We start from the raw sequence: 16,858 nt of genomic DNA on the forward strand, positions 1-16,858 counted from the left end.
TCTAATAGCTTTTGGATAATGTATAAAGTTACAAATGTTACAAGATACAAAATCAACATACAAAGATCTGTTGTGTTTCTACACAAAAACAACTGAAAAAGAAAACGATCCCATTTATAATAGCGTCGAAAAAAATACTTAGGCATAAATATAATCAAGGTGAAAGATCCGTATACTAAAAACCATATCAATGAAAGACATTGAAGACGACACAAATAAATGGAAAGATATCCCACATTTATGGATCAGAAGAATTAATATTGTTAAAATGTTCATACTAACAAAAGCAACCTATAGATTCAATGCATCCTGGGAATCTAAGGTAAAGCATGATGACTATAACTAACAACACTGTATTATATACTTAAAATTTGCTAAGACATATCTTAAATGTTTTCACCACGTACATACAAAAATAATGGTAGCTATGTGAGGTAATAGATGTGTTAACTAACCTGATTGTGGTATCATTTCACAATATATATGTATAACAAATCATCACTGTAAACTTACACAATTTTGTCAAGTATACCTTAATAAAGCTGGAGAAAGAAAGAGAGAGAAGGATCTGAAAGATAAAAGAACTATCTCAAATCAATAGCCTACCCTTTCCAACCTAAGAAAAAAAAACAGAAGCAAGCTAAATCCAATACAAGCAGAAGGACAGAAATAATAATGCCTAGAATGGAAAGAGATTATATAAAATATAGAAAAAGAAAAGAGAAAATCAACAAAACCAATGTTTTTCAAAGATTAAGAAAATGCCAAACCTTCAGCTAAACTTACCAAGAAAAAATAGCAAGACCTAATTTGTTAAAATCAATAATGAAAGGGAGAACATTACCATTTAATCTTACAAAAATCAAAATAATTATTAGAGAATATTAAGAACAATTATATGTCAACAAATTAGACAATCTAGACAAAATGGAAAATTCCCTAGAAAGACAAACTACTGAACCTAATTCAAAAATAGCAAAGATGCATACACCTATAACAAGAGATTGAATCAGTGAAAAAATAAAAAGCCCAGGACCAAATAGTCTCACTGGTGAATTCTACCAAATGTTTAAAGAAGAATTAACACCAATACTTAAAAATTTTTCCAAAAAATAGAAGAGGAGGGAACACTTCTCAAGTCATGCTATGAGGCCACTATTACCCTGAAACCAAAACCAAAGACATCAAAGACTCTAGACCAATATCTCTTATGAATATAAATGCAAATATGTTTAACAAAATACTAGGAAACTGAATCCAGCAGCACAGCAAAAGGATTATGCAACATGACCAAATGAGATCTATCCAAAAGTTACAAGGGTGATGCATCCTGGCATGTAAAAACATCAGTGTAATATACCATATTAATACAACAAATAAGAAAAAAAACCACATGGTCATCTCAACAAACTCAGAAAAAACATCTGACAAAATCCAACACCATTTTATGATTTAAAAAATAAACAACACTCAACAAACCAAGAATAAAAAGAGCTTCCTTAACCTAATGAAGAACATCTATCTCTCACACACACACACACACACACACACACACACACACACCCCATCATACTTAATGGTAAAAGACTGGATACTTTCTTCCTAAGATAGTATCAGAACAAGAATGTCCACTCATCATTTCCACTCAACCCTGTACTGGAGTTTCTTGCCAGGGAAATTGGGCAAGAAAATAAAATACAAAGAATCCAGATTAGAAAGGAAAAAGTAAAATTATCTCTAGTCACAGATGACAAGATTATATGTAAAGACTCCTGAGGAATACACTAGAAAACTAATAAACAAGTTTTTAGAAGTTTTTTTAAAAAACTAATAAACAAGTTCACAAGATCTAATAAACAAGTCCAGCAAAATTGCAGGATAAAATATCTATATACAAATAACAGTTGTATTTATAAACTAGCAATGAGCAATCTGAAAATAAATTATGAAAATAGTTCCATTTACAGTAGCATCGAAAAGAATAGAATACTTAGGAATTAAAGTAATCAAGGAGGAGTAAGACTTGAACATTGAAAAATACAACACATTGTTGAAAGACATTAAACAAGACCTAAATTTAAATGGAAAGATATTCCATGTTCATGGATTGGAAGGTTTAAAATTGTTAAGATGGCAGTAGTCTCTAAATGGATCTTGATACAGCTTGGCTCTGTGTCCCCACCCAAATCTCACCTCGAATTATAACCCCCATAATCTCAACATGTCAAGGGTGGGACCAGGTGGATGTAATGGATCACTGGGGCAGTTTCCCCCATGCCGTTCTCGTGATAAGTGAGTTCTCATAAGATCTGATGGGTTTATAATCGTCTGGCATTTCCCCTTGTTTGCACTCACTCTGTCCTGCTGCCCTGTGAAGAAGGTTCCTGCTTCTCCTTTGCCTTCTACCATGACTGTAAGTTTCCTGAGGCCTCCTCAGCAATGAGGAACTATGAGTCAATTAAACCTCTTTTCTTTTTTATTTTTTTTCTTTTTTTTTTTTTGAGACAGAGTCTCGCTCTGTCACCCAGGCTGGAGTGTAGTGGTGCCATCTTGGCTCACTGCAACCTCTGCCTCCTGGGTTCAAGTGATTCTTCTGCTGCCTCAGCCTCCCGAGAAGCTGGGACTACAGGCCCACGTGCCACCACACCCAGCTAATTTTTGTATTTTTAGTAGAGACGGGGTGTCACCATAATGGCCAGGCTGGTCTCGAACTCCTGACCTCATGATCCGCCCACCTCAGCTTCCCAAAGTGCTGGGATTACAGTCGTGAGCCACTGCGCCCGGCCTAAACCTCTTTTCTTTATAAATTACCCAGTCTCAGGTATTTCTTCACAGCAGTTTGAGAATGGACTAATACAGATCTAATGCAATCTTTATCAAAAATCCAACTGTCTTTTTTGAAGAAATAGACAAGCTGATCCTAAAATTCATATGGAACTGCAAAGGACCCTGAAAAGTCAAAACAATCTTGATAAAGAAGAACAAAGTTGGAAGATTCAAACTTCCCCATTTCAAAACTTACTACAGTTACAGCCATCTAAACAGCATACTACTGACATTAGAAGAGACGTATTGATCAATGAAATAGAATTAAGAGTCCAGAATTAAACTCATACATTTGTACTCAATTGATTTTTGACAAGGGTGCCAAAACCTCTCAATGGGAAAAGAACAGTCTTGTCAACAAATGATGTTGGGACAACTGAATAACCACATGTAAAAGAACAAATTTGGAACCCTACCTCACATCATATGCAAAAATTAACTTAAAATGGATCAAAGACTTAAATGCTTAACATCATTAATCATCAAAAATGCAAACCAAAACCACAATGAAATACCAGTTCACATTCACTGGGATGGGTACAAACCAAAATGTGAAAATTAACAAGTGTTGGCAACGATGTGGAGAAATTGGATCCTTTATATGCTGTTGACTGAAATGTTTTTAAATGGTGCACCTCCCATTGAAAAAAGTTTGACAGTCCTTGAAAAACTTAAATATAGAATTGACATATGACCCAGCAATCCCACTCCTTGGTATATATCCAAGAGAAATGAAAACAAATATTCATGTGAAAACTTGTAAACAAATGCTGATAGAAGCATTATTCAGTAGCCTAAAAGTGAAAACAACTCAAATGTCTATCAAAAGAGGAATGGATACACAATATGTAGCATATGCATACAATGAAATATCACTCAGCCATAAAAAAGGAATGAAGCACTGATACATGCTACAATATGGATGAATCTTGAATGACTGCTTAATGGGTACAGAGCTATTTTTGGAGTAATGAAAATGTTCTGGAATTAGGTAGTTGTAGAAGTTGTACAATCTTGTAAACACACTAACACCATTGAATTTTGTATTTTAAAATTCTTAAAATGGCTAATTTTATCTCATATGAATTTTATCTAAAAATAACAGGTAAAAAATAGTGAACTGGAAAATGGATCAGAAGTAAATACGCAGAATGCAGCACAAGATAAAAGCAAAGAAAACATAAAAGTTAGGGTAAAGGTATAGAGAAGGACTAGCAAATATTTAAGTCACAGAAAGATAATGAAGCAGAGGCAATACCAAAAGGCAGAACAGTTTATATTCTTCTAAAATTTATAAAAATCATAAATCTATAGGTTTAAGAAGACCAACTAACATCGATGTAAAAATGTACTTAATCCTACCTGGATGCATCACAGTAAAACTTTAGAAAACCAAAAACAAAGAGACTAGGGAATTAAAGCACTTAAAGTCAGATTGACAGCTGGCATCCTAACAACAATAAAAGCCAGGATTCAATGAAATAATATTTTCAATGTGCTGAAATGAAAAAAAAAAGCCAACCTACAATCCTATCCCCAAGAAAAATATATATTAAAAATAAAGACAATAGGCTGGGCATGGTGGCTCACGCCTCTAATCCCAGCACTTCGGGAGCCTGAGGCAGGCAGATCACGTGATGTCAGGAGTTCAAGACCAGCCTGGCCAAAATGGCAAAACCCCATCCCTAGTAAAAATATAAAAATTAGCCAGAAATGGCTTGAACCCAGGAGGTGGAGGTAGCAGTGAGCCCAGATCGTGCCACTGCACTCCAGCCTGGGCAAATGAGCGAGACTCTGTCTCAAAATAATAATAATAAAGGCAATAATTAGGACCACATCAGATAAACAATAACCAGGAGAGTTCATGATGAGCAGCTCCATTCAGATTTCTTTACAAAGAAATCTAAAGTGTATTCTATAGCAGAAAAAAACTCATCCATGGATGGAGATGGAATGGATGCAGATCCAAGGACTGAAGAGCCGGAAAGTCATAAATATGTAGCTAAATCTAAATGAACACTTACTGTATAAAATAATCATTATCATGCATTGTGAGGTTTAAAATGAGTACACACAGATTCTCTAAAGACAAGTGTTAATATTTTCTATACAAAGAGCTCCTACAAATCAATAAAGAGCAAACAAAAACATAGACAACTGATATGAACAGTAATTCACAGATGTGTAAATAGCCATTAAACAGTAAACATGGTCAACCTCACTAGTGACCAGCAAAATGCAAATTAAAATGATACACCATTTTTTGTCTATCAAATTGGCAAAAACTCTTTAAAATAAGATAATATCCTTGGGTTGATGTGGATATGGAAAAACAGAAGATCTTAGATCCTAGTGAGAATATAAATGGATAAAACCTTTCCAGAGAGCATTCTGATAAAACCTAGCAAACTTTTCAATAAGCATACCCTCTACACAGCAATTCTCCTAGGAATATAGCCAACGTGAATGCACAATGTACAATGATATTCATGACAACATTTATTGTAACATTATTTATAATAGCACAAAATTAGAGAGAAAACATATGTCATCAAAAAAAGGTTGAGTAAATTATGCATTATCCATAGAAGTAAATACCATACAGACACTAAAAAAAATTAGGACATACAAATAATACAGTATTGTGTACTTAACATTTGCTAAAAGAGAAGGTCGGGTTTTTGGTGGGGTTTTTTTTTTCATTATTATTATTATTATAATACTTTAAGTTTTAGGGTACATGTGCACAACGTGCAGGTTTGCTACAAATAGCAAAGACTTGGAACCAACCCAAATGTCTTTTTTAAAAAAAAAAAAAAAAAAAAACAAAAAACAGGGTCTCACTCTATCACCCAGGCTGGAGTGCAGTGGTGCAATCACAGCTCACTGTAGCCTCAACATCCTGGCTCAGCCTCCTGAGTACCTGGGACTACAGGCACAAGCCGTTTTATCTGTTTTTTTTTTTTTTTTTTTTTTTTTTTTAGAGACAGAGTCCCATTATGTTGCACAGGCTGGTCTCAAACTCCTGGGCTCAAGTGATCCTCCTCCCTCAACTTCTCAAAATGCTAGGATTACAGGCATAAGCCATCACACACAGCCGAAAAAGAACAGATCTTCTCACAATACACACACACACATAAAAGTTAACTACATGGGGTGATAGATAAATGAGTTAGCTTGGCTGTGACTTCACAATGTATATGTATATCAAAATATCACATATACACCGTAAATACATACAATTTTTGTCAATTATACCTCAATAAAACTAAAAAAAGAAATTAGGAGACATGTCGGTACTGAAATGAAGAAATATCCAGTACATACTGCTGACATTTTTTTAAGGCTGCAGAACACATATTATGATCCCATTTTTGTTTCTTATTAAATAACAAAGCAACTAACAGTGTATTTATGTTTACATATGCAGACAAAAAGTCTGGAAGAACACTTGTTAGCACCATTATTTCTAGAACTTGGAGAGCAGTTAGAAAAACGTGCTTTCCCCATATTATATTGCTTTAATTTTCTTTTACAGCAAGATTTCAGGGCCAGGCACGGGGGCTCATGCCTGTAATCTCAGTACTTTGGGAGGCTGAGGCAAGTGGATCACCTGAAGTCAGAAGTTCAAGACCAGCCTGGCCAACATGGCAAATCCATCTCTACTAAAAATACAAAAATTAGCTGGGTGTGGTGATGGACACCTGTAATCCCAGCTACTTGGGAGGCTGAGGCAGGAGAATCACTTGAACCCGGGAGACGGACGTTGCAGTGAGCCAAGATCACGCCATTGCACTCCAGCTAGCTAGGTGACAAGAGCAAACTTGTCAAAGTCAAAAAAAAAAATTACTCTTATAATTGGAAAAAAAAGTACAAAGTAAAAGTGTAATTGCTTTGATGGGTTTACCCACATAGTATATTCGCCCAGTAGAAGCACCAAAGTCAGTCTGGAGGAGATAAGGGAAGTTTTACAAGTGTGGGTTCACCTGCAACACCACGGAGGGAAAAAGGAGCCAGGGGCCTAGAGGACCTCCAGCTGTTCGGCTATAGAAGGAGCCTACAGTACCAAGAGAAGGGCCCCACCAGTGAATCCATGCTGCCAAGGGCACTCCACAGAAGTCAGGGGTCTTATACTCGTCAGAAGGATCCCCAGGTCAGATGAGTTTGAGGAGCCCTGCTTTGGGTGGCAAAAGCCACTGAAGTTTCTTGAGCAAAGGGTGACAGCTGGGACGGAGGGAGGGCAGCAAGGCCCAAGGCAAGAAAGCAAGGACAACAAAATGTAATTCATTCACTGGACACACACGGAAGGGGCTGTACCCTGTGTCAGGCCCCATGCCAGGACCTGAGGCTAAGAGCTGAACAGCCCAAATCCCTTCTTTGGGACATTTCCTGACAAGCAAGAGAAACATAGAGACAAATGAAAGCACACCCAGGTGAGACAGAACTGAAACAAGTCTAGTTGTGGGGTTCTGGGAGCCCAGAGAAAGGTCCTGCAGCCCCACTTGGGACCAAAAAGTGTTCCTCAGGGTGACCCCAAGCTGAGTGAGTCCCAGCCACATACAGGAGTGAACCAGCAAGAACACCTGCAAGGGGCTTCCCAGGCAGGGGTGGCCTTTGCATTCAGTTGCTCCTCCGCCAGCAGTCGGGGAACCGTGGCTGTAGATCAGTGATGAGAGGGAGGAGAGGGGCATGGGGGACGGTTGAGAGGGAGGTGAATCTCCGGGAAGGGGCAGGAGCTCAGGGCCAGCTCCTACATGAATGGCACTGTCTCTCACTAATGCTGGTTAGGCGTGGAAGGGTGGAAGTCGGAAAATGCACCTTACAACACTGACACTCATAATTCTATGTGAATTCTGCTTTTTTAGCATTTATTCATTTCCTATTTATAAAAGAAATGAAAGGCGGGGTACGGTGGCTCACACCTGTAATCCCAGCATTCTGGGAGGCCTAGGTGGGTGGATTGCTTGAGTCTAGGAGTTTGAGACCAGCCTGAGCAACATAGTGAAACCCTGTCTATACAAAAAATACAAAAATTAGGTGGGTGTGGTGGCGGGTGCCTGTAGTCACAGCTACTCAGGTGGCTGAGGTGAGAGGAACGCTTGAGCCCAAAAGGTGGAGGTGGCAGTGAGCCAAGATCACGCCACTGCATTCGAGCCTGGGCAACAGAGTGAGACTCAGTCTCAAAAAGAAAATGAAAAAAATAAAAATTAAAATTTCTCTCTTATCTACAACTCATTTAGAAAGAAGAGAATCTTAATAAGCAAAGAACTAAAAGCTTTGCAAGAGCCAGTCTAGAAGTTCTTTCCACCTTGATCCACATGGCTTCGATCTGCCATATGAATTGGACAAGAGACATTATCCATTTTTCTGAGTCCATATACATTCAACCCCAGAGGCAGGTACCCAGATGAAACCCTGTCTCTACAAAAAATACAAAACTTAGCTGGGTGTGGTGGCGGGCACCTGTAGTCACAGCTGCTCAGGTGGCTGAGGTGAGAGGAATGCTTGAGCCCAAAAGGCGGAGGTGACTAAACACAGTTCTTGACTAAAGCCCTCTCTGTGAAGCTATACTCTTCAGAAAGCAAGTCACTGACTGCTCAGCAGGGAAGTGGGCCATGGAGAGTGTGGGTGTCACAAAGCTTCTGGCCAGGGGTCAGGACTCACACAGGCTGGGTGGGCAGAGGGAGGGCGCTGAACTGCAAGGCCCCTGGCACCAAGGAGGTTCTGACTCTCACTGTCCCATGCAAACTTTCCTCCTCTACCCCAAAGCAAAGGGTCTCAAGTGTGCGCTACTGGTTGAGACGCAATTACACATAACTTTCCTCCTCACTCCTGCTTCCTCTAAATGGGGAGAGGACAGGTCTGCTCACAAGGCCTGTGAGGGGCTGAGCACGCCATGGACACACACCCTATTAGCTGACGGTGATGACAGAAGTAAGAAATACTAACTGCTGCTCCTTATTCACCCACCACTAGCTTCGGGTGCTGCATCTTTTTCATTTTTCACTTTATGCCACTAACAGTAACTCTCAGAACTTCCTAACTTCCCAAAAACTTAATCTTCTGTCAGGCATGTTTCTCTGAGAACCCTGGGAATGACCAGAGGGACTTATTAACCAAAACATTTTTTGTCTGGAATCTCTCCTTGTTAATGGTGTCCGACAGATGATGAATAGCCAGCCTATTTAGAAATGCCAGCCTGAATATTCCCAGGAAAGAGCCAGTGGATTATTAGTGTGGCTGATGAACTCTGCAATGGGACACTGACTGCTATGCATTGGGCTTCTGCACAGGTGCCCAGCTGCTGTCCTTTATCTTAGTGTTTTGTGAGGATCTTTGCAGCGGTTCCTCATGTGCTATATGTTTTCTCTGTCTGTGGGGACCTAATTACAGTGCCTGGATGGTTTCTCTGATCCGTGCACCTGCTGCATCGGATAACCACACAGTGACAGATGTCCAGACACTACAGACAAGATGCATCTCACTTTGCACGCTGACTGTGAACCCAAAGGATTCTGTGCAAATCAAAGCTTTGCAATGTGAATCCTTGTTCCAGGTTTATAGGAACAGTTGGAAAATGCTGTAAGATTATATAGACTTATTTATTAATCATGTACGTTAGAACAACAGCTTCCTTTTATCATGTTCTGTGTGCCAGGCATCATCTTAGGTCCTGTAGGCATATTCTTTAACTTCATCCTCACAGACCCCCTTGTAACCAGCATATTTCTCATCATTTGTCCAGATAAGCAAAGTGAGGCTTGGAGAAGTAACATCATTGGCTTCAGGTAATGCAGCCAGTAGGTACTAGGGCTGGGTTAAACCCACACTTGTCTGACAACAAGCTCATGTTTTTCACACTATTGAATACTGCCACTTCCATTCATTCTTTCATTCATTCATTTGCCAACCTACAGGGGGCTAGGTATGGGATTTCAAAGGCACAATCTTATTTGAGCATATCTACAATTGGAGACTTATTGTGACTTCTGATTTGGAAATGTGGATTTTCTAGGCTTCTGCTATGCCCACGGAGCAAATCAACATCAACAGGTGTGTCAGAAGGTATCCTGCCCCACCCCCCAGCCCCCTTACCATCTCCGGTTTTGCTTGAGTTGGGGGGTTCAGGTGTACTCAGAGGCCTAAGGGGAATAATAATCTCATCAACATTAACCCCTTCTTCCATGTGCTTCTCTGAAACGTGGGAGAGGAGTTCCGACTGATTTGGTGAGAAGAGGTTACAACATTTACACATAAAGATGGCCGTGTTTTCTGTAAGGAAAAAAAAGGAAAATATGTTATTTCATCTCCACATAAACAATTATTACTTCCAATTGCCAAAGACAATACCGAAAGCTGCCCTTCTGAGCCATCACCAGCCTCTACCAGATTGTGTCTCTCTGGCAGTCACCTCCATGGCAGGCCACTCACTTTCATCTTCAGGGAGATCCAGGGGCCAGAAAGTTCTTTATTCAGTATCTCAACCCTCAGTCCTTCTGGATAGTGTCTAATACAAACCTTCTTGTTACCCAAATCTACTCATCAGCCCAGATTCTGGGATAAGTACAGCCAAGTAAAAAATAAATATGCGGCCGGGCGCGGTGGCGCACGCCTGTAATCCCAGCACTTTGGGAGGCCGAGGCGGGCGGAGCACAAGGTCAGGAGATCGAGACCATCCTGGCTAACATGGTGAAATCTCGTCTCTACTAAAAATACAAAAAATTAGCCAGGCATGGCAGCGTGCACCTGTAGGCCCAGCTACTCGGGAGGCTGAGGCAGGAGGATGGCGTGAACCCGGGAGGTGAAGCTTGCAGTGAGCCGAGATCACGCCACTGCACTCCAGCCTGGGCGACAGAGCGAGATTCTGTCTCCAAAAAAAAAAAAATTTGCAACTTAAAAAACTAAATCCTACCCCTCAAATGACTGAACTGCACACTGATGGCAATTAAGCAGTCTTGCTAGATTCTCTCAAATTACGCACAAGGAAAAGTTGACCACAATAGCATTTCTCAACAGCCCAGCACCTTTCAATGAAACGGCAGGAATTTGTTGCCTTTTTAAAGCCACTGAATTCCTATTTAAAGCACTCTCATTGTTCAAAAAATTTACCAATAGTTCATTATGTTCATCTCATTATACTAGGCAGGAAGACATAATAAGGGAAATAAAACACTCACTTTTTAGACTGATAAAATAATTATAGGTATATACAAAATATTAAATTCAGGATTCAATAACAATTAAAAGCCAGATCTTTGTATTATTATTTTTACATTCAGACTGAAAGGAAGTGGCTTTGTCCACTGAAAAGGACAATGGCTTTGGAGCCAAAAGGCCCAGGTTAAATTCCCAACTCGTCCCTAAATGCTGGAAAGCTGAGGACCTCAGAGAAGCAGTCATCTGTCAGTTGCTGGAATCCATAGGAACTTTGGGGATGGAACTTGCCTATTCAGCAGCAAGAACCCAGCAGACACTCAGAAAGCACAACACTGACTCGGCGCAACTCTGCACCCATGGTGTGCCCTCGCCCAGCAGCTGGACGGCTGGCAATCCACACCTGGCTCCCTTCGGCATCCCCCTCACCAGCCTCCTGGGGAGGCTCAACGCTGCCTGGAAGTCACATGCAACTTCTACGCCATTTACTGCCTGGTGATGCTGGACAAATACATGGCAATCATACAAGCTCTGCGCTCTCTGGTGATGGTGAGCAAGTATCTCATCCTCCTCGCTCCTCACTCTCAACAGCTGACCTTGCTTCATATCTCACTGCAAGCAGCCAGAAAACAACTGCCTCTGCCACCCCTTCCAGCCCGCCTGCGTCTTCAGCTGTCTCCCCACCTCGCTCCTGCTGGTTTGAAGGTGGGCATAGTGAGGGGGACACAAGGTGTGCGGGTGAGAGCAGTGGCCCACCCCAGAGCAGGGCTATCATATCTCTGATATTGTCTGGAATTGCTGGTTCATGGAGATACTAAAAGCAGACCAACACTTCACTTGTGTGATCATTACTTTCAAATTCTCTAAAGATAGCGCATGCCTGATTGCCTGCACCCAGGAAGATGCTCCCACATCCCTGTGTGAGAAGGCTACTAGACAAAGGGTGCATGATGGCTTGTGCGTGCAGAACTCACCCTCTCTGATGATTGTTCTCCAGGTCATCAATTCTTCCCTCTGTACTAGATCTTTCCATTGGCCTATAAGCATACTCTTATTCTCCCATCTTAAAATGAAAACAACTCCTGATCCCCACTCCCCCAACCCATTTCTCTCCTCTTTACAGTAAAACTCTCCTACCAGAAAGAGGAAATGAGGAAAGGCAATAGGCCAACCCAGCCTTGCTGGCATGAAGGTGGAGCTCTTGGAAGGCACTGGAGTCCCAGGAGCAAGCCCCTCCCTGGGTTCACAGAAAGACTTTCTCCGTGAATTAGCAGGGAGGTAACGACCTGAGAGAATTCTTTCCTACCAACAACACATGAAATCAAAATTTAACAAAGCAGAACATTGCTTCGCCAATGAAAATCTCTCACAGATACTGCCAATCGATATTATTTTTTTCCAGGAAACGTTCTATTCCTAAGGAACCCAAAATGCTTCCCGAACAAGAAGAGATTAGAGTAATACATTTTTCTTTATAGGAGGCCAAGTTGTTTCCAATGTGCTTCTTGCTAATCCTACAATAATCCAATGATTTAGGCAGAAAGGGTTTGTAATCCCCAGTCCAAAGGTAGGAAACTGAGGCCGAGAGAGGAAAAGCAACTTGCTCAAGTCATTATGGGCAAGAGGCAGGGACCAGATTCTCTCCTACCTGCATTTGACAGGAGTTATGTTTGGCTACAGCCCATGAGCTGAGTTCCTCCAAGTTATAGCTAAAATACTTAAGACTCTACACCCAGCAGCATCTGAAATAAAACTCATTACAGCAAAGAGCGTAATCCCCAAAGCACATATCAACTTCAACTGTGTTCATTTCAGTGTCCATTGAGCAGTAACCACAGGTGGGCCCCACCCCAGACACTGGAGACAGAGATGAATCAGGCATGAGGTCCAGGCCCTGCCACAAGAGGAGGCCACCACATCACTGAACAGATAGACATGTCACAGAACAATCCCATGTAATGGTTTTTACTGAAATTATTTTATAGACATGTCACAGAACAATCTCATGTAATGTTTTTACTGAAATTATTTCCCAATACCTGTAAGTATTCTTGGTTCCTAGGATGCTCTCAGGAAAATGGGAATTCTGTGACATGTAACAGAGCTGAACTTCTGGGGACCACAGGGCTATTACAATGGGTCTCCTAGTTCAAAGGTACACAAAGCACTGCCCAGAGATTACATAAATAAAACTATTTTGCATTTGTATATGACAAAGTGTTGGAGACTACTGGAAATAAACTACTGCTCAGCTATTCCACACCACCTGAAGGCCTGAGGACCCTGGGTGGCACCTGGCCTTGGCCATCTGTTATGAATTTGCATTAACACATGTGTCTGTGTACTCAGCTCTCTCAGGCAGGGAAACTGGACCTGGAGCTCCCGAGGTGGAGGCAGAGACAAACACAGGAACCTGGAACGATTCTCACATCACAGAAGGCTCCGCCACGTGACGTGGGCCATGAGAGTGGGGTGGATACCGATCTGGACAGGCTGCCATGGACAGGAGAGGCTTCTCAGCCGAGAGACAACCAGAGCTCAGTGCTGCAGGGCAGTGAAACTCCAGGAAGGGCGCGTGGGCAGGAGACATGCAGGCTCAGGGAGGAAACACACAGAGTGTCGTGGAGGCAGGAGGGAGGGAAATGAGTGGATCTGCTGACAACACAGGGACCTGCGCCCACAGGGACAGAGATCCCCAGCACAGTCACTGGGCAGGCACTGGCAGCTCCTGAGAGAGCCAGCAGTCCACCAGCAGAGCAAAGGCAAGGAGAAACTGTCTGAAGGGGCTGGCCCTGAAGGAGAGGCCCCACGTGCCTGAGCTGTGCCAGCTCCCCTGCGTGTCCACACCCTGGATTCTGCAATGGCCCCATCACATGGCTCCCCCTAGAATGTGAGGTCATTGGAAACAGCATCTGGCTAGCCTTGGACACCTCAGTGCACCTGGAGGACAGCAAGTGGCCATGGCGGAATGAGGGAGGGAGAAGGAAGGAGTACATTGGCCCAAGACGGGTGGGACTGACACCAAAGAGCCTGTCCAGGGATGAGAGCAGAGATGATGGCCTGAGACACAGATCTGCAGAGGAGTCAGGCCAAGCAGGCATGACACCATCACTGACTAGACATGGCCAACAACAGAGACAGGGGAGGCAGATGTGCCCCCAAGGGAGCAAGGACAGGTCTGATGGGCAGGATCAGGTGGTTGTGGGCAGGACATCAGGATGCAGATGCCTACTAGGAGCAGGCAGCGCAAGACGGGGTGGGGTTCAGCTACAGTAGGGCAGAGAAATGGGGTCAGCACGCAAGGAGGAACATCAAGCCTAAAGATGGAAAGTGTCAAGAAGCCAAATCCTTCCAAAGGCCCTGTCCCAGTCCATCTGAGTAGCTATCACAAAATGCCACAACTGGGTGGCTTATTAACAGAACTTTATTTCTGACAGTTCTGGAGGCTGGGAAGTCTGAGATAGAGGCATTGGCAGAATCAATGCTTGGTGAGGGCTGCTTCCTGGTTCATAGCTGGTGCCTTCTTGCTGTGTCCTCACATGGTGGAAGGGGCAAGGTAGCTCTTTGGGGTTTCTTTTATAACAGCAATAATTCCATTCATGAAGGCCCCACCCTCACGACCTGACCACCTCCCAAAGGTCCCACCTGCTAGGCCATCACATTAGGGGGTAGGTTTTGATCTATGAATTTTAGGAGGAAACAAACATTCAGCTCATAGCAAGCAAGAAACAGAAGACCCAGTCCTTAGTGACAGAGAAGGCCCTTAGGGAGAAGGTGGAAGAGAAGAGGGGTTGCTCCTGAAAAATGCAGCAAGAATGGGGAGGGCAGGCACTGGATCCAGCCATGAGGAAGACACTGGTAACCTCAAAAAGTGAGATTTCCCTAACATGGCCACAGAGTCGCACAAGGTGGCTGAGATCAAGGCAGGGATATTCAGAAAGCAGGCACCCTCATCAGGCCTGGGGAAGGTTTGCTCTAATAAAAGGAAGCATCCTTTGGCCGGCTGGGTGACAATGGCCACCGCCAAGCACTGGCTACACTGGACAAATGACTTTTACCAGCTTTCCAAGACTTTCAAGCCTTTGAGTAAAAGGCCAGCATCTATATTAAAATTACAAAATAATAAGAGGTCTGGTCAGCAGGGAGGCAAGCGTACAGAAAGACTGTGCAGACAGCATGTAAAAAGGCCAGAGGGGAGGCAGCCCAGTGTGTCCTGAGCCTCCACATCTCTCTAGCCTGCAAGGCAGCCTCTTCTGGGTCATCCGCCCACAGAGGACGGCTCAGAGGTTTCCAGGGAGTCTGGTTTTCGGGACCAGCCCTATGCCCAAGACCACTTCTCCCTACAAAGTTGCTCTGCAGCGCAGACATGCACGCACAGACACGCACAAGGGTGGTGGAGTCTGCTGCTCTCATGAACGAATACTGCCATGGCAAAGGGGCCAAGAGCGCCAAAGACACTCGCTCATAACTTCTGACCAGTGGTTTTCCTCCTTGAGATCCTGCCTTCGTGATCGTCCAAAACTAGAACTGGGATTGTGCACTAAGATATTCAACACACAAGCAAGTTCCCAGAAGCAACCGAAGTGCTCAGCAGTGGACAAATCCTGACACTTACAAAACAAATTATGATACAGCCACTGAAAATCATATTTCAAAGAACACTGAATGGCACAGGGAAACGCTCCTAATGAACACTAAGTTTTAAAGAATGGAATACTCAGCTATTTGGTATGAATACAATTTTGTTATTAATGGATAGATATTATTTATGAATAGATGGAAGGAAGGAGAGCTGGCCAGGATTAAAGAAAATATACCAAAATTTTCACTGTGAAACTTTTTTAAAAAATAACTTCTGCCTGTAATCCCAGCACTTCGGGAGGGCAAGGTGGGTGGATCACGAGGTCAGGAGTGTGAAACCAGCCTGGCCAACATGGTGAAACCCCGTCTCCACTAAAAATACAAAAAATTAGCCGGGGGTGGGGGCATACACCTACAATCCCAGCTACTCGAGAGGCTGAGGAAGGAGAATTGCTTGAACCTGGGAGGTGGAGGATACAGTGAGCTGAGATCGTGCCACTGTACTCTAGCCTCGGTGACAGAGCAAGACTCTGTCTTAAAATAGTGATAAAAATCATAACATCTGTATTTTCTACAATGAGTCTAAATAACATTTAAAAATCGGAAACACTGCTAGGCACGGTAAAGGATAACACAGCAGACCCAACATGGTTCAGCAGGATCCACTCTAAGCTGCTCAGGCAAGAATGGTGTCTTATTCAAGTCCATGTCCCCAGCCTGGCACATGATAGGTGTTCAACTAATGAGGAAGCTGAGTCGCACGCTGCAAATCATGAAGACCGTGAGCAGAGGAAAGGGGAAAGCCTTGGCTGAAGTGCCTGGGAAGTTACGGGAGGAGGCACTTGAAAGGATCTTGAAAGGCAGCCAGACCTGCACAGGAGGTCATGGAAGGGGCTCCCAGACTCCAGAATGCATCAGGCATGGGCTCTACCCCCCACTCCACCCCTATGAACACTCCCTCATTCAATCCCCCACCTCTCTGCTGGCCAGCCCATGATCCCCACTCTACAGTACAGGACGGAGGGTCAGAGAGGCTGACCTCCCCTCAGCCAGGGAAGTGCAGGGGCAAGCAGAACCCGGATCTCCCTGACCCAGGCCCAGGGCTCCACAGTGCCACATGGCCTGTCCAGGGTCAGCGCCAGTAAAGAACATACAGCCACACAGAGCCCACGAGACCACAAAACTCCCCAAGGGAGCAGGGGTCTTGGACACAGGGCTGGCCCTGACAGTCAGACTCCCCAGGGGCGCTCTATGCTGCTCCTACCATTGCAATCTCATATTTAAAAGCAGCCTGTTC

The 16,858-nt window shown here is 43.2% G+C and overlaps 1 protein-coding gene across 13 annotated transcripts in view; it reads right to left on the minus strand.

Annotated features, from left to right (window-relative positions):
* ZFAT (zinc finger and AT-hook domain containing) overlaps positions 1-16,858 on the minus strand; it is a 354,552-nt gene that overhangs the window by 169,852 nt on the left and 167,842 nt on the right. For all 13 annotated transcript variants that reach the window (NR_110323.2, XR_007060749.1, XR_007060750.1 and 10 more), the window contains one exon: positions 9,922-10,098. Coding sequence is in view for 10 of the 13 variants with exons in the window: in XM_047422062.1 (XP_047278018.1) it covers positions 9,922-10,098 (177 nt within the window). In the remaining 3 variants the exon portion in view is untranslated. Of the gene's footprint in view, positions 1-9,921; positions 10,099-16,858 lie in introns of those variants that run through there.

The sequence above is a fragment of the Homo sapiens genome, chromosome 8 (genome assembly GCF_000001405.40).
Source record: "Homo sapiens chromosome 8, GRCh38.p14 Primary Assembly".
NCBI lineage: Eukaryota > Metazoa > Chordata > Mammalia > Primates > Hominidae > Homo > Homo sapiens.